Here is an 18,528-nt window from a genome sequence, read left to right as displayed (position 1 = left end):
CTGGCACACTTTGTTCAGGGTCCTTTTAATAGTTTGATTAGTGCTTTCTACCTTGCCAGAGGAATGTGTTCTCCAGGAGTGCTAGGAGTACTTTATTTCTAGGGCTTTTGTCACTAATTAAAGGGTGCGTGAAATAAAAACTGGGCCGTTGTCACTTTGTAAACACAAACTAAACCCACACTGAGGGGTGATTTTTTTTTTCTTTTTGTTTTTGAGACGGAGTCTCGCTCTGTTGTCCAGGCTGGAGTGCAGTGGCACAATCTCAGCTCACCACAAGCTCCACCTCCCGGGTTCACACCATTCTTCTGCCTCAGCCTCCTGAGTAGCTGGGACTATAGGCGCCCGCTACCACACCCACCTAATTTTTTCTCTTTTTTAGTAGAGACAGGATTTCACTGTGTTAGCCAGGATGGTCTCAATTCTCTGACCTCGTGATCCGCCTGCCTCGGCCTCCCAAAGTGCTGAGATTACAGAAGTGAGCCACCACGCCCGGCCGGGATGATTTTTTTTTTTTTTTTAAGAAGTACCTTGGCTACTTCCTGGGCCTTTTCTGTTCTTGTAGGAAAGGCTTTAACCCACCCAATAAAGGTGTCCACAAACACCAGAAGGCATTTATAGCCTCTACAGGCTGGCAATTGAGTGAAATACATCCATCAGTCTTTCCCTGGGTAAGCTTCCCAATGCTGAACTGGCTCAACTAAGCAGGACAGGGAGCTGCATTGGCTCTGGCCGGTTGTCCTGGGTCACAAGGAGGCAAGGCTACGCGTTTGAGGCCAACCTGGGCAACATTGAACAAAAAAAAAAATTTGGCTGGGCACGGTGGCTCATGCCTGTAATCCCAGCACTTTGGGAGGCCGAGGCAGGCGGATTACCTGAGGTTGGGAGTTCAAGACCAGTCTGACCAGCATGGAGAAACCCCATCTCTACTAAAAATACCAAAAAAAAAAAAAAATTTTTTTTGGTCTTTTTTTGGTGGCACCTGCCTGTAATCCCAGCTACTCAGGAGGCTGAGGCAGGAGAATCGCTTGAACTTGGGAGGGAGAGATTGCGATGAGCTGAGATCACGCCGTTGCACTCCAGCCTGGGTACTAAGAGTGAAACTTTGACTCAAAAAAAAAAAAAAAAAAAAAAAAAAGCAGGGCAGCGTAGGGCCCTGGGGGCTATTACAGGCACAGGATGCACAGGTGTTAAAGACCTGACAAATAGTCTAGTAGAGCCCTTTCCTGGAAAAGAGGTTTTTGCACATGTGCTGGAGATGATGTCTCCCAAAGTGACATGACTCATGGAGTGCTCTCACAAGTTTTTACTGGAGGGCCTAGGAAAGTGGAGAATTCCTCCCACTGTATACCACACCTCAGGTTCTCGGGTAGATTCATATTTGATAGCCCATTCCTTTTCCTCTTGGGTTTTTGTGGGTGGGTAAGGTGTTGGGTAAAGATGGGTTAAGGGCCATGAGGAGTTCCCTACAGGGTAGTGGTCCTGGCTGTTTGATCCACCCTCCTGTTTTGCTGGGCATTTTCTCCCTGGTCCTTTGGTGTCCCTGGCCATGGACTACAGCTATTTCCTGTGATAGGTGTACAGCTTAGAGCAGGGCCAGGATCTGTGGTCCACATTCCTTAGGGGTATCTTTTGCTGGTAAAAATCCCTGTTCCTTCCAGATGGCCACATGAGCATGGAGTCCTGAGAGGGCATATTTTGAATCTGTATAAATTGTAGCTTTTGGGTTTTTCCCTATTTCTATGGCTCTAGTTAAGGAAATGAGCTCTGCTAGCTGTGCCAATGTTCTTGGAGGAAGGGATTTGGCTTCTATAATGTCAAATAGAGACACTATTGCATAACTGCATGTGTCACTCCATGTTGGATGAAACTGCCGCCATCAGAAAACCAGACTTAATCAGGGTTCAGTAGTGGAGAACCCTTTAAATGTTTTCTACCAGCAGAATAGATTTCCTGTGTTGCAGGGAGAGTTACAGACTTTAACAGGCCATGTCTAAGGAATGGGTTAATGATAGGCTCAAGTCCTTCTGTTGCCTCTGGCCATAGCGAGTATTGTTTCTTATGAAAGAAGTGGAAGGTTTTCTTAGCTGGATTTTGACTGGGACTGCAGTTATTGCCCTTCCTAGTGTATCAAAGCCCATATCTCAGGGTTATTTGTGATTCCAGATCAAGATAATTCAGCAATGTCATGGGTGAGTCTTCCAAAAAAAAAGAAAGCCTTTCAGGGAAGTTCAGGTAAATGTGAAGCGTGCCCCTAGTTTGGAGAGTATATCCCTGCCCTAAAGACGTATGGGACATTCAGACAGTATCAGGAACTCATGGGAAAAGATTAATTGGTCTTTTAACAATAAAGAAGGTGTAAATCTTAGGAAGAGATGCCATTTACCCTGATTACCTGACAGAGGAAAGTTGCCTAGAGAAGGGGGTCAGCACCGAGCAGGCTGCTCTCAAATCAAATAGAAAATGTATTGTCCTACCTGCTACATCCAGAGTTGCCCTGGGCTCCATCCCTTTGATGATGATGTCACATCTGGGAGCTGGCCAAGGCAGAGGGCACCCTCAGCTCAAAGCCATCATTGGCTCAGGGGCCCTTTTGGCTCTCGGGACAGTTCTCTTTCCAGTACCTGAGCTTACGGCAGAGGGGACAGGCCGTGCAGGGCTTTTCCCCCCTTGGCCCGTAGGGGCAGTTTGCCTTCCAATGGCCCGGCTTCCCGCACTGATAGCAGTTCCCTGGGAAGGTATCCTTAGGGCAACCTGGAGGGGGCTGGTGAACTTGCAAAGCAGCTAGTAATTGAGCCTGCCTCTCTTCTTTCTGTTTTTCCTTCCTCTCGGCCCTGTCCCTCTCATCCTGGTCTCGGTTATAAAACACTGAGGAAGCGAATTTGAGGATTTCTGACATGGGGGCTCTAGTTCCCAAAGCCAGCATTCGCAGTTTTCTCCTAATGTCTGGGGCAGCTTGTGTGAGGAAGTGATCCTTTAGGACTAGTTGTCCTTCTGGGGATCCCGGGTCTAGGTTGGTATGTTTGATAAGAGTTTCCTGGAGCCTTTCGAGAAAGGCCGTGGGATTCTCATGTGGCCCTTGGTCGATGGTTGCTAACTTATTATAATTGACAGGCTTGACTTGACTCCTTTTCATTCCCTCTATCAGGCATAGGAGCATATGATTTCTGGCGCAGATTCCTGCCGGGGTATCGTAGTCCCAGTTGGGGTCCTGCAGGGGGACAGCTGTAGCTCCCACGGGGTAGTTGGCATCTGCCAAGTGTAGCTCATCCCCGCATTGACGTGCTGCCTCCCAGATGGTCTGTCTTTCTTCCAGAGACAGGGTTTGTCCTAGGAGGATGGCGACATCCTTCCAGGTTAGTTCAAAAGTGAGGGTTAATTTACGGAAGCCCTCCAGGAATTTTCCCGGATTCTCTGAGAATTTTCCCAGGCCTTCCTTAACTTGGGACAAGTCCTGCATGGAAAAGGGGACCTGGACTTGGACTGGTCCTACTGGTCGGCTCACCACTGGTAGCAGGCAGATTCCAGAGCGGGGGCCTGAGGGCCTAGTGTAGGTTGAGGCTGACCCATGAAGGCTAAGAGTGCGATACAAGGAGGAAGGAGCTGGGGGTGCTTGCTCTTTCTCTTTGGTCTCAGGAAGAGGAGGTTGAGGTGGGTTGACCAGGAAATCATTGAAGCCTCCTGGTTGAGGTCTCTGGAGTGGACGACTGAGGATAGCTAAAAGGGCAGGATCTATCTTGCAGCCTTTACAAAAATCGGGGTTTTCCCTCAAGATCATGAAGGTTTGCACATAAGGGACCTCTGACCATTTGCGCTGCTGTCGGCAGTAGACGTCAAGCTGGAGTATGGTATTAACATTTAAGCTTCCCCCCACTGGCCAGGCTTCCTGCCCTTCTAGTTCATATTTTGGCCAAACTGTATTGCAAAGAAAAACCAATCTTTTTCGTTTCAATGCCTGGGGATCAAACTTATCCCAGTTTCTAAGGATGCATCCGAGAGGGGAATCCTGGGGTACGGAGCTCTGGTTACCCATCTGAAAGAGAAGACAGGAATGAATATAGGATAGAGAAGGCATCTCTCCACCTATTGGGTGCCTCAGGAAGGTGAGGCATTCCACACCTTGGCCTAGGTGAAGTGTCCATGCCTCTATTTACAGGGATGATTGGTTCTTCACCCTGGGGCTCCAGAATTAGCTAGCCTTAGCATTTGCACCATCCATTGTCTCCCTGTATCTCATTTTGCTCAGAAGCCTTTCTTAGATTTCCTAGGATTGATGCCTAGGAGGGACGCCTTTCTCACCTCTGTGTTGGGCCAGGAAGCATGTAAGAACGTCGGGCATGGGAGTAGTTCTCTTGTCTCTCATATTCCCAGTGACCTTGGTTCTGCAAGAAGTCCAGTAGTTCTGCCCCTGCTAAAGTCTGCAGAGAAGGGACTCCATGGTAAGGTCCCCTTAATGCATGATAATATTGGATTAATGCATACAGATGGTTAGAGGAATGGAGGTAAATTTGATATCTTCCCCTGGTCATAGTAGGTTCCTTGGGGATCATACAGAAAAAATGCTTAAACAGGCATGGAAGGCCCCTGGGGCTCAGAGTTAGTGGACTGGGCTGTTGATTCTGGTTTTTTACGTCCCTGATATGATCACATAAGCAGCAAGGGGAGTGCCGGGGGCATTTTCTGTCAGCTTTTTCAACATAATACAAAAAGCACCTGACTGCCGTACAGGTCTGTAACAATGGCTTGAGGAGGCGGATGAAGAACTTCCCATTGACCCACAGGAAACCCCGGTTGTAAAGAGAAACTGGGGTCTGAGAAAGAGGCCTATAAATGACCATCCGGAGGAACCAGACAGCTCGCTTGAGGAGCCACAGAATGAGGCATTCTTGAAGAGTAGTCGGGCGGAGAAGGACCCGATAGTAAACGAGGGATGCCTGTAAGCGAGCATCCTGCCAGTGCCGGTCCCTGCAGTGAGAAAGGAGGCAACTGAAAGGACGAAGCTGGGTCTCATCTCTAGGGAAAAAATAAGTATAAACTTCCTCACAGGCCCGGGCAGGCCTCCGGCGATTGGCAGTGAAGCAAACGCAGCAGGTCCCAGACAAGCAGGACAGACAAGGCACTTGTACACGAAGGAGGAATTCAAGGAAGCCCGGCGACGAGGACAGGGACAGCAAAGAGTAAGCAGAGTGACCTGGGGGATTATTCACCGGTGGCGGCATATTGTGTCCAGGAGAATGAACTGCCATGAACAGCAAGTAGAAGAGCCGACTCAACATGGAATAGTAGTTTTAGTTGAAGATATGAAGCTCCCCAGTCACTGCACAGCCAGGGTGGATTTTCTGCCACCTTCACAAGCCTCCTGCAGGGAGGGTCACCGTGTCTCAGATCTACTCACTGTGGAGTTTAAATCCTCCCTCCTCTGCTTGTCACCCCTCAGGGTGAGCTGAGAAGTCAGCCAGAGGGAGCAGAGTGACAGTGGCTGAAGGGAAATGGTACTGGGCAGTTGATAGTGAACAGAGCCCGAGAGGAAAAGCCCCTCCCCTTAAGGCTGCAAGATCTGCATTAGGGCAGGAGGTTCTTCAGTGCAGAAAGAAGCAGAGGTCGTCAACCAGAGGATCTGGCACCAGCTTTTTGGCACTTACCCAGAAGAACAGTTCACAGGCCACCAGGGGAAAACACCAGATGTTACCAGGAGGGGCGTGGAAGTCCTCTGGTTCTTGGTCTCCTTGAATTCAGTCAAGAGACACGCAGAAAGAGTTAAGCAGGTAAGTGCCCTTTATCTAAAGGCGTAGGAGCTCGGAAAGAAGAGATACCCTGAACAGTGGAGCAGGGTGGGCTCCTCAAAAGAATGAGCCTGTCCCTACTAGTGTTGGGCAGAGCCTTTTTGTGAGAATCTGACATGATTATTCATGAAGGGGCTGTGCAGGGATGTTCCTAGTAAGCACGTTCCAGGAAGTCCTCTGATCAGGAAAGCCCTGTGACGGTCCGTGCTGGTACACACGTCACATATCTCATTAGCATCTCAAATCTCCAGCCAGGGATGTGTGTTTCAGTATCATTTTGAGCAGAAGGCTCTTCTAGGGTGGGTTATTGCAGAAGTACACATGGTTGTTAATGGGGAAAATCCCCCATCTCGATTATGTCCAGCTAGCCCCTGATAAGTCCCCTTCTGGGCCAGAGGAGTGCAGCCACAAGGCCAGGTGGAGGCAATGTAGCCACTGATCTTTTCTTGCTGTCAGTGGGCAGCATCTTTAAGGAGACTCTCAGTGAGTTGCATTTCTTTTTTCTTTTTTCTTTTCTTTTTTTTTTTTTTTTGAGACAGAGTCTCGCTCTGTCACCCAGGCTGGAGTGCAGTGGCCCGATCTCGGCTCATTGCAAGCTCCGCCTCCCGGGTTCACGCCATTCTCCTGCCTCAGCCTCCTGAGTAGCTGGGACTACATGCGCCCACCACCAGGCCAGCTAAGTTTTTGTATTTTTAGTAGAGATGGAGTTTCACTGTGTTAGCCAGGATGGTCTTGATCTCCTGACCTCGTGATCCACCTGTCTCGGCCTCCCAAAGTGCTGGGATTACAGGCATGAGCCACTGTGCCTGGCCAGTGAGTTGCATTTCTAAATATTCCTTTCCAAAGTGTCAGAGACATTTGAACCAGAGCAATTCCATCTGGAATAGGGGCTGGAGAAAATAAGCCTGAGACCTGCTGGGTTACATTCCCAGTAAGTGAAGGCATTCTTAGTCATAGGATGAAACAGGAGGCTGCTCTGACTATGGAGTAGCCATACTTTATTCCTTTACTCTCTTAATAAACTTGCTTTCACTTTACTGTATGGATTCACCTTGAATTCTTCCTTGCGTGAGATCCAAGAACCCTCTCTTAGGTTCTGGATCAGGACCCCTTGCGGGTGACACAGAATCTCCTTACCTGCTCATGCCTCGCTATCTGCCTCCTGCAATACTTTCACCTGGTTTGTGGATAGAAAAACTTAATTACACCGAGTTCATCCACTTCTGTATGTTCTCTCTGTATAACCAATCTGAATGTAAATTCACCTTAAGCTTTTTCCCCCAGGTCACAGAAAAAAACAGAATTTTCACCTTCGTTGAGTTTATTCTCATCAACTTATTTCTCTGATAGAGAGAAAACTTCTATTAAGTGTCTTCATCAGGGCTCCACTGGTATAAAAAGGGATGTCAAGAAAATTTAGATGAATTTGAGATGTGACATGAATCTGACATATAAATTAGTGCTAGTATTTTCTTTTCTTTTTTCTTTTTTTTTGGGGGGGCGGTGGGGAGGGAGTCTCACTCTGTCACCCAGGCTGGAGTGTAGTGGTGCAATCTCGGCACACCGTAACCTCTGCCTCCCAGGTTCAAGGGATTCTCCTGCCTTAGCCTCCCAAGTAGCTGGGATTATGGGCGCCCGCCAGCATGCCCAGATAATTTTTTTTTTAATTTTTAGTAGAGATGGGTTTCACCATGTTGGCCAGGCTGGTCTCAAACTCCGGACCTCAGGTGATTTACCCACCTCAGCCTCCCAAAGTGCTCCCAAAGGTGTGAGCCACCATGCCCGGCCTCTTTTTTCCGCTTTCGTTGCCCAAGCTGGCATGCAGTGGCGCCATCTCGGCTCACTGCAACCTCCACCTCCTGGGTTCAAGCGATTCTTCTGCCTCAACCTCCCGAGTAACTGGGATTACAGGCATGCACCACTGTGCTTGGCTAATTTTGTATTTTTAGTAGAGATGGGGTTTCTCCATGTTGGTCAGGCTGGTCTCAAACTCCCCACCTCAGGTGATCCACCCGCCTTAGCCTCCCAAAGTGCTGGGATTACAGGCGTAAGCCACTGCACCCGACCTAAGTGCTTGTATTTTCTTTCTTTCTTTTTTTTTTTCCCACATTTAGTTCTTTTATTTAATTTTCTAGTGGACAATTTACATATCTCCCTCACCCTGTCTTTTAAGTTAGTGTGACAATTTTCCATAATAAACTACTTAAAGGGAAGCTTTGGTCAAGAATGGAATGAAATCGCAAAAAAAATAAAAAAATAAAAAAAAAAATACTGCTTTAAAAAAACCAGCATTTTCACCAATTTTATATTCAAACAAAACCACACAGCATTGGCCTGCTATGTGTTTTCAGTGTTTCCTTGGGTCTAGCTTCCTCGCCATCGTGCCACGGCACAGCTGCGGTTGGCCACAGTTTGTCATGCTAGATGGCGAAGGCTCACTCAGCTTCACATTATGTGGAGGACCTGGATGGAAGACTCGAGGGTCTTGAAATCCCAAATTGTCATGGCTCCATCAATGCCAGTAGTGCAAAATTTGCGACAACCTTGCTTGTCTACCTCATAAATAGAGACGTGAGTGATGCTATTCTGGTGCAGCCTCTCCAAGGCCATGTTGTGGTCCTCAATCGTGGCCCTCGTGTCCATGTTGCGGAAGTGTTCTATGGCAGACATGTTGCGTTGGATGCTCTGTTTTGGAATGTCTAACTTGGAGACGAAGGTCAGGCAGCCGCGGTCATCATAATTAAAGAGCATTGGGTAGCAGTCATGGCCAGCAGCCACGACACTGTTCTCTGAGACAAATGACACACTCAGGAGTGGTAGGAACTCTGTCTTCAGAATTGAGACCTGCACACTTTTTGAGGCATCAGCAACAGATAACGGTGCTGTCGTGGCTGACCCAGGCCAGGCGGCTCCCACTGGCAGAGAAGCTTACCCCGTGGACCCAGCCACCGGTGCCACTGCCACCAAACTCTGACATCAGCTGCCCAAAAGGCATCTTGGTGCCCCAGGGCATGCTGGCTGGCTTTTCATCCACTTCTTTAATGTAAGCAGAAAACACTCTGCATTTGAAGTCACATGATCCTGCTGCCAGCAAAACATTGTTGGGATGCCAATCCAAGCTGAGGACTGTGGAGCGAATCGGCTTTTTAATATGCTTGCTTACCCACCAGTCATTTTCAGACTCAAAGTAACAAACAAATGAGTCATGCTCCACTTCCCACAGCAAATTTGTTCTCTAGCGGGGACCACTTCACAAAAGTAGCTGCACGATTAATTCTAAGGATCACCAGGGTTGGCTTCCAGACACCATCTTTCTGACTCCAGACATAGGCATTGCAGTCTACCCCGCAAGTGACGATGCGGTCGCTCTTGGGAGCCCAGTGAATGCCTGTGATATGTCCATTGTGCTCACTGAGTTCACGAGCTTTCACTCGCTGGCTCCCATGCTTCTTATAGATGTGCGCTTCCTGATTATCAGGACTGAGGGCAATCTGGGTACGATCCCTGTTCCAGGCACGACAGGTGATTGGCTCTAGTAAAAACTGATGCAGTGATGTCATTCTTAGTGTTTTCAAAGGAGAGAAGGCTGGGATCGGGGAAGTCCGGACGGGCTCAGAGCAGAGGATTTGCGGACTCTGGGCTGTCGACGTGAACCAGTGCTTGCATTTTGTAATTGTTACCAAAGAATTGATAAAACTGTGAGAGTGTGTTTTTCCATGGTCAGCAGGAAAATGGAAAAGGAAACACCATTTTTCTTTTTCTTTTTCTTTTGGAGACAGAGTCTCGCTCTGTCACCCAGGTTGGAGTGCAGTGGTGTGATCTTGGCTCACTGCAACCTCTGCCTCCCAGGTAGGTTCAAGCAATTCTCCTGCCTCAGCCTCCCGATTAGCTGGGATTACAGGCTCACACCACCACGCCTGGCTAATTTTTTTGTATTTTTACTTGAGATAGGGTTTCACCATGTTGCTCAGGCTGGTCTCAAACTCCTGAGCTCAGGCAGTTCACCCGCCTCAGTTTCCCAAAGTACTAGGATTACAGGTGTGAGCCATCGCACCCAGCCCACTATTTGTCTTAATATATCTCTAGGTTTCTGTTCAATTTAACAGTTACACAGACCCCTGAATTTAGAGATTTAGAGCCATATCTTCCAATAATTACTAATGTCTCTTGTATGTGATAGGAATGAATAACACACAGCCAAAATGAACACTCAAGGCCCTTTCGTTCCATTCAAAAACTGAGGTATGGGGCAACATCGCTATTGTTCCTATTTTTAGTTCTATTTTTCAAATTCTACACATGTATTATTATTTTTTCTCTTGGAGACGGAGTTTCGCTCTTGTTGCCTAGGCTGGAGTACAATGGTGCAATCTCGGCTCACAGTAACCTCCGCCTCCTGGGTTCAAGCGATTCTCCTGCCTCAGCCTCCTGAGTAGTTGGGATTACAGGCATGCACCACCACACCTGGCTATTTTGTATATTTTTAGTAGAGACGGAGTTTCTTCATATTGGTGAGGCTGGTCTCGCTCCTGATCTCAGGTGATCCGCCTGCCTCGGCCTCCCAAAGTGCTGGGATTACAGGTGTGAGCCACTGCGCCTGGCCTATATTTATTATTTTTTAAATTTTGTTTTATGTTACGTGTGGTGACAGTGTTGAAGTTTATTACAACCCTGTAAACCTAGTAAAGGGTTGAAGAAATAGCAAAGATTGAAGAAACCACCAGAGGAGCACATGTTCCCCAGGCCTCTTGAGGCCTCTAGGGCAAAAGCAAAACAAAAACAAAAACAAAAACAAACAAACAAAAAAACAAATAAAACCCACCGGAAACCACTCCCCTGCCCAATCCCTTGTTTTTGTTTTCCCTAGAAACAGCTTACTTCAAAGCTTACCCTCTTTGTTTACATAAGAAAAAACTCCAAATTCCCACGGTTTGTCTCATCAAGGATTTCTCACTGATGGTGGAAACAATGCTTCTTAACTTACTCAAACCTTAGGCTTCCCTGTTTCTCCAAGCCCCTGACTGTTGGACTATTCTTGGCCATTGAAATTCAGAACAACCTCTATTTCTCTCTCTCTCTCTTTTTTTTTTTTTTTTTTTTTTTTTTTTGAGGCAGTTTCACTCTTGTTGCCCAGGCTGGAGTGCAATGGCATGATATCGGCTCACTGCAACCTCTGCCTCCCAGATTCAGGTGATTCTCCTGCCTCAGCCTCCCGAGTACCTGGGATTACAGGCATGCGCCACTGTGCCTGGCTAATTTTGTATTTTTAGTAGAGACAGGGTTTCTCCATGTTGGTCAGGCTGGTCTCGAACTCCTGACCTCAGGTGATCCACCTGCCTTGGCCTCTCAAAGTGCTGCGATTACAGGCATGAGCCGCCGTGCCCGGCTAACAACCTCTATTTCTTAACCACATATGGGCACTGTGATTGAGAACAACTTCTCTTTGTTTGTTTGTTTGTTTTAGAGATGGAGTCTTGGCTTACTGCAAGCTCTGCCTCCCGGGTTGAAGTGATTCTCCTGCCTCAAACTCCCCAGTAGCTGGGATTACAGACCTGTGCCACCACCCCCAGCTAATTTTTTTATTTTTAGTAGAGACAGGGTTTCACCATGTTGGCCAGGCTGGTCTTGAACTCCCGTCCTCAAGCGATCCACCCGCCTTGGTGTCCCAAAGTGCTAGGATTACAGGCATGAGCCATGGCGTCCAGCCCAACTTTGCCTTTTTAATGTCCCATCCCAAGAGTAAGCTGACCTTAGGATAAAATATTCACTGAATAGGTCACAGCAGATGCTTATCCACTGCCCTGTACCTGGCGCTTTCTAACCTTGCTTCCTTCTCCTTATAAAAGAGAAGCCCTTTTCTGTGCAACTCATATATTTGCAGATCTTGGGGTTGGAGCATTTTCCCTATTGCAATATACCTTTTGAATAAAATCTAACCAATATCTAAATTTGTTTTTTGACAGTAGTAAACATTTTCTTTTTAGTTTTCTTTTTTTTTTTTTTTTTGAGACGGAGTCTCTCTGTTTCGCCCAGGCCGGAGTGCAGTGGTGCAATCTCGGCTCACTGCAAGCTCCGCCTCCCGGGTTCACACCATTCTCTTGCCTCAGCCTCCTGAGTAGCTGGGACTACAGGTGCTCACCACCGCGCCCAGCTAATTTTTTGTATTTTTAGTAGAGATGGGGTTTCACCATGTTAGCCAGGATGGTCTCGATTTCCTGACCTTGTGATCCACCTGCCTCAGCCTCCCAAAGTGCTGGGATTACAGGCATGAGCCACCGCGCCCGGCCCAGTAGTAAACATTTTCATTGTTCCGTCTGTGTTAGAATATGCACATGCTTTTTCCTGTGACACTGGCTATAATATAAGCTCAATAGATGAAAGTAGTTTCAGGCATGGTGGCTCATGCCTGTAATCCCAGCACGTTTGAAAGCAAAGGCGGCCAGATGGCTTGAGCCCAGGAGTCAGAAACCAACCTGGGCAACTTGGCGAAACCCATCTCTACTAAAAAATACAAAAATTAGCTGGGCGTGGTGGCACGCCCTGTAGTCCCAGCTACTAGGGAGGCTGAGGTGGGAGGATCACCTGAACCAGAAAGGTTGAGGCTGCAGTGAGCTGAGATGGCACCACTGCACTCCAGCCTGAGTGACAGAGTGAGACCCTTTTTCAAAAAACAAGTAGTTTCTATTTTAACTTTTTGGAAACATCTAATTACTTTGCATTTCTCTTATAATGATATTACAAGGATGTATATGTCAAAATCTTTCTGTGATTAAGAAAATCCTTTTTTTTTTTTTTTTTTTTGAGATGGAGTTTCTCTCTTGTTGCCCAGGCTGGAGTGCAGTGGTGCTATCTCAGCTCACTGTAACCTCCGCCTCCCGGGTTCAAGTGATTCTCCTGCCTCCACCTCCTGAGTAGCTGGGATTAGAGCCATGTGCCACCACACCCGGCTAATTCTGTATTTTTAGTAGAGACGGAGTTTCTCCATGTTGGTCAGGCTGGTCTTGAACTACTGACCTCAGGTGATCCGCCCGACTTGGCCTCCCAAAGTGCTGGGATTACAGGTGTGGGCCACCACACCCGGCAGGAAATATTCTTTTAAATTTCTTGTGAATCAGTATGTCCATGTTGCTTCCTTGACATTTCTAGAAGCAACAAAACTTTACATATACAAAATGGAATCATGACTTTCCGCTACAATCAGCTTCTTGTCTACCGTTCTGAGGTTAACAAAAACTGTCACAATCAATTCTTTTTTTTTTTTTTTGCATGGAAGCATGGAAGTCCAGGCTCAGTGTTCTTTTTTGGCTACTTAGCAATATTGCATAATACAGAATTATAATGCTGTGACAGGAAAACATACTTCCATATTACATGTTAAGTTGGAGATTGCCATGGAATTATTGCCTGAAGAAATGAGGCTACTTGTAAACATTTAATAATTGAGTTGTCCTTTTTTTTTTTTTTTTTTTGCTCTGTCTCCAGGCCAGAATGCAGTGATGCAATCTTGGCTCACTGCAACCTCTGCCTCCCGGGTTCAAGCGATTCTCCTGCCTCAGCCTCCTGAGTAGCTGGGACTAGAGTGCGCACCACCACATCCAGCTAATTTTTAGTGGAAACGGGGTTTCACCGTGTTAGCCAGGATGGCCTCGACCTCTTGACCTCGTGATCCCCCTGCCTCTGCCTCCCAAAGTGCTGGGATTACAGGCATGAGCCAGTGCGCCTGGCCGAGTTGTCCTTTCTTGAGAGTTCCTATGAAAGAAAATAACTTGCCTGCCATTTATCTTTAGAAATATTGCAAAATTATTTTTTCTCTAAGGGAAAATAAATCTAAATGACTTCTGAAGAGTATTTTATTGGCTTTGCTATCCACACGTGACAGAACATTGAGAAACAGAAAACAAAGAAAATATCTAAAATACGTTACAATTTTAAAATGAAATTTGTCTTATTACAGAATGCACATGGTGAATTTGAAATTACAATATATTTAGAAATTAATGACATAGCAATATTAGTGTTGATGAAAAGAGTCAAACTCTGTAAAATACTGGAAAAGATTTATTCTGAGCCAAATATGAGTGAGCTGGCCCATGACACAGTCCTCAGGAGGTCCTGAGAACATGGGCCACAGGTGGTTGGGGGCACAGCTTGGTTTTGTACATTCTAGAGAGGCATGAAACATCAATGAGATACATTTAACAAATACATTGGTTTGGTCCAGAAAGGTGGGGCAACTCAAAGCGGGATGGGTTGGTTTCAGGCTATAGGTGAATTTAAACATTTTGCCAGTCATGGTGGCGTGTGCCTGTAATCCCAGATACTTAGGAGGCTGAGGCAGGAGAATCGCTTGAACCCGGGAGGCAGAGGCTGCAGTGAGCTGAGATTGCGCCACTGCACTCCAGCCTGAGCGACAGAGCAAGACTCTAAAAATAAATAAATAAATAAATAAATAAATAAAAATAAATTTTAAAAATGCTATCATTTATCTGTTGTCTACCTATAACCTGGAAGTCTCTGATTTTCATTACTCTGCCTTTCAAGACCAAACCAATGTACATCTTACATTTATTGATTTATGTCTCCTGTCTTCCTAAAATGTATAAAACCCAGCTGCATCTGGACCACATTGGCTGCAAAAAACACATCGTTAACCTTGGCAAAGTAAACTTTCTAAATTAATTGAGACCTATTAGATACTTTTGGTTCACAAGCTCATGAACACAGAAGAAATCAAGATAGAAAACAAACTAGATCTAATGAAAAACATAAAATAAGTTCATAAATCTGAACTCTTTCATATATATTGAACATAGAGGAAATGGTCTCAAACTGTGTGTGTTTATATTAGATCGCAGTTTTGAAAGATATTTCTAATATTTGATTAAAATAACCCATCCAATGTAGTTTTAGCCAATATAAAACTGAAAATAATAAATGATCAATTGTATACATACATTAAACTTCCTAATATTTTCCGTAGCATTGCTATTACTATTTATGTTATTGGAGTAGATGCTCAGTCTGTCTTTGATATATTACTAGAGTGGTGTCTTCCATAATGGTGCTGAGACTCTGTGGTGCATGAGTGGATACACTGTTAAGCAGGAACCTAGGAGAACCAGGATGTCAAAGCTCAAGTCCATTAAAACTAGGAAAACGTACTCCTTACTGCGCGAGTCAAAGTCATAAGATGTTAATGGTTAAGGAAAGCAGCTTAATGATATTTGCAAGGACAAACTCCTACAGAAACACAATGTCCACATGACCCAATATCTCATGACAATGTGTGCTTCTAAGATAATTACAGCCATGCTTTCAAGTACTTGCACACTAAAATACCAAGGATCGTTTTAAATCAACAAAGTAGTAAGTTTTGTCACACCATCAGCCCACCGGCAGTTAGCTTTTACGTAGGCCCCTATACAAGAAAAACTTGAAACAGGTGTTCCCCCTGCTTTCTGAGGAGCCCTGCTGTGTAACTGGTAGCTTTTCTTTTCTTTTTTTTTCTTAAGACGGAGTTTCGCTCTTGTTGCCCAGGCTAGAGTGCAATGTTGTGATCTGGGCTCACCACAACCTTCACCTCCCGAGTTCAAGCGATTCTCCTGCCTCCGCCTCCCGAGTAGCTGGGATTACAGGTGCCCACCACCAAGCCGGGCTAATTTTTGTATTTTTAGTAGAAACGGAGTTTCGCCATGTTGGCCAGGCTGGTCTCTAACTCTTTACCTCAGGTGATCCGCCCTCCTCGGCCTCCGAAAGTGCTGGAATTACCTGTTTTTCTTCTTAATTTGAAAATGGTTTAAATGCAAAGTGCCTTTTGTGAGCAGGTAAAGACGCCCGTCCTGCAGGCGGGGCGAGCTCCCCGCAGCCTGGGGTAGCTGGGGTAGGGGGAGGGCGAGGGGCAAGGACCTCGGTAAAAGGGTGGAGTGTGGCGCTGGTTGCAGCCAGGACTGAGAATTAGAACAGCTTAAGGGGCCGGGCGCGGTGGCTCACTCCTGTAATCCCAGCACTTTGGGAGGCCGAGGCGGGTGGATCACGAGTTCAGGAGATCGAGACCATCCTGGCTAACACGGTGAAACCCCGTCTCTGCTAAAAATATAAAAAATTAGCCGGGCATGGTGGCGGGCGCCTGTAGTCCCAGCTACTCAGGAGGCTGAGCCAGGAGAATGGCGTGAACCCGGGAGGCGGAGCTTGCAGCGAGCTGAGATCGCGCCACTGCACTCCAGCCTGGGCGACAGAGCAAGATTCCGTCTCAAACAAACAATCAAGCAAACAAAAAAACCCCAGAAAACGGCTTGTTTAAGCGAGGTCCTGTGTTGTTTGAGCGGATAATGGAACATGGAGGGTGACCTGCATGTGGAACTGCCTATTGCACACTGGAGGTGAAGGACAACTTTCCCTTCCTTTCTTTTCTCAGGACATTTATTTAGAAAATTTGTAACTGTATTTTCTCTTCTTCTTTTTTTTTTTGTTGTTGTTTTTTTGTTCGTTTGTTTTTAGACTGAGTTTGTTTGTTTTTAGACGTAGTCTCGCTCTATGGCTCTATCGCGTAGGCTGGAGTGTAGTGGGGCAATCTCTGCTCACTGCAACCTCCTCCTCCTGGGTTCAAGCGATTCTCCTGCCTCAGCCTCCCGAGTAGTTGGGACTACAGGCGCGCGCCACCACGGCCAGCTGATTTTTGTATTTTTAGTAGAGACGGGGTTTCACCATGATGGCCAGGCTGGTGTTGATCTCCTGACCTCGTGCATCCGCCCGCCTCGGCCTCCCAAAGTGCTGGGATTACAGGGTTGAGCCACCACGGCCCCTGTAATTCTTAAACTGGAAATTACCCAGATTGCTAATGTCAAATAATAACCTTAGATCACAAATTATGACAAGTTTGTTTACAAGCATGTATTCCATTACATTTACCCGGCTAATTTTGTAGTTTACCTAGATTATTTACACACACACACACACACGCACACACACCGTGTGATGGCTGATGTTTAAAGTTATTAAAGTTTTCTTTTTTGGCTGGGCGCGGCGGCTCACGCCTGTAATCCCAGCACTTTGGGAGGCCGAGGCGGGCGGATCACGAGGTCAGGAGATCGAAACACGGTGAAACCCCGTCTCTACTAAAAATACAAAAAATTAGCCGGGCGTGGTGGCAGGCCAGCCTGTAGTCCCACCTACTGGGGAGACTGAGGCAGGAGAATCGCTTGAATCCGGCAGGTGGAGGTTGCAGTGAGCCGAGATCTCGCCACTGCACCGCAGCCTGGGTGACAGAGCAAGACTCTGTCTCAAAAAAAAGAAAAAAAAAGTGTTTTTTTTTTTTGCAGGAACTCTGATGAAGCAGGCATTTTAGGTAAAAATGATTATAATTTTGTTCTGACGTCAGAGCAGAACTTATCATTAGAGAAGATGGAGCCATATTCTTCTTCTACCCATTATTAATTTTTTTAAATTTTAAAGACCACACAATGTATATATGTGTTGTGTAGTAAAAATTCAAAGAAAAGTTCACTTACGCATCCCCTTTCCTGTCCAGCCTTCCACCCGTTCCCATGGCTCAATGGGGAATCACTGCTGAGAGTTCTGTGGCAAGTCAGCGTAAGTCCTACAGAAATGTATTCAGACACCATTTTGAGATTTTAGAAAAAATTCTTTGATGAATGCGCCTGTCACCCAGACTGGAGCGCAGTGGAGCAATCTCAGCTCATTGCAGACTCCGCCCCCCAGGTTCAAGGGATTCTCATGCCTCAGCGTTCAGAGTAGTTGGGACTACAGGTGTGCACCACCAAGCCTGGCTGTTTGTTTATTTTTAGTAGAGATGGGGTTTCACCATATTGGCCAGGTGGTCTGGAACTCCTGGCCTCAAGTGATCCTCCCTCCTCAGACTCCCAAAGTGTTGGGATTTCAGGCGTGAGCCACTGAGCTCGGCATGATAAATGTTTTGTTGTGGTATTTTATCCTGCAAGTTTTGAAAATTTCCGTGTTTTGAAGGTAGGAAACACGATAGCTTGCTGTTTTCCTTTTTTTTTTTTTTTTTTTTTTGAGACGGAGTCTCGCTCTGTCGCCCAGGCTGGAGTGCAGTGGCGCAATCTCGGCTCTCTGCAAGCTCCGCCTCCCGGGTTCACGCCATTCTCCTGCCTCAGCCTCCCGAGTAGCTGGGATTACAGGCGCCCGCCGCCACGCTTGGCTAATTTTTTTGTATTTTTAGTAGAGACGGGGTTTCACCATGTTAGCCAGAATGGTCTCGATCTCCTGACCTAGTGATCCACCCGCCTCGGCCTCCCAAAGTGTTGGGATTACAGGCGTGAGCCACCGCGCCCGGCCGAAAAATCTTTCCAATGTAGTGAGAGTGGCAAAGCCTTTAATTGTAGCTCACTCTTAAGGAAACATCCGATAATCCATTTGGGAGAGGGAGAGAAACAATATGAAAGTGATGTATGTGGCAAAGTCTTTTATTATCGTGGTGGAGATGATATCTCATTTAGGGGAAGATTTTTTTTGTTTTCAATTATATTTTCTCAACATTTAAAAAGTGAAGTAAAGAGTATTTCTTGGCCAGGCGCGGTGGCTCACGCCTGTAATCCCAGCACTTTGGGAGGCCGAGTGGGGCAGATTACGAGGTCAGGAGTTCAAGAACAGCCTGGCCAACATAGTGAAACCTGGTCTCTACTTTTTAGTAGACAAAAAATTAGCCAGGCATGGTGGCAGGCGCCTGTATTCCTAGCTACTCGGGAGGCTGAGGCAGGAGAATCGCTTG

The 18,528-nt window shown here is 46.5% G+C and overlaps 1 long non-coding RNA gene and 1 pseudogene across 1 annotated transcript in view; one reads left to right on the top strand and one right to left on the bottom strand.

Moving 5' to 3' along the window:
* Positions 1-6,817, top strand: part of LOC124904758 (uncharacterized) — a 31,324-nt gene extending 24,507 nt beyond the window's left edge. Inside the window, exon 2 of the long non-coding RNA XR_007067327.1 lies at positions 4,726-6,817. This is a non-coding gene — a long non-coding RNA (uncharacterized LOC124904758). The remainder of the gene's footprint in view (positions 1-4,725) is intronic.
* Positions 8,031-9,434, bottom strand: ARPC1AP2 (ARPC1A pseudogene 2; annotated as a pseudogene).

This window comes from Homo sapiens, chromosome 19, assembly GCF_000001405.40.
Source record: "Homo sapiens chromosome 19, GRCh38.p14 Primary Assembly".
Classification (NCBI taxonomy): domain Eukaryota; kingdom Metazoa; phylum Chordata; class Mammalia; order Primates; family Hominidae; genus Homo; species Homo sapiens.
The sequence above is the reverse complement of the archived record's forward strand: the minus strand, read 5'-3'. Positions and strand labels throughout refer to the sequence as shown.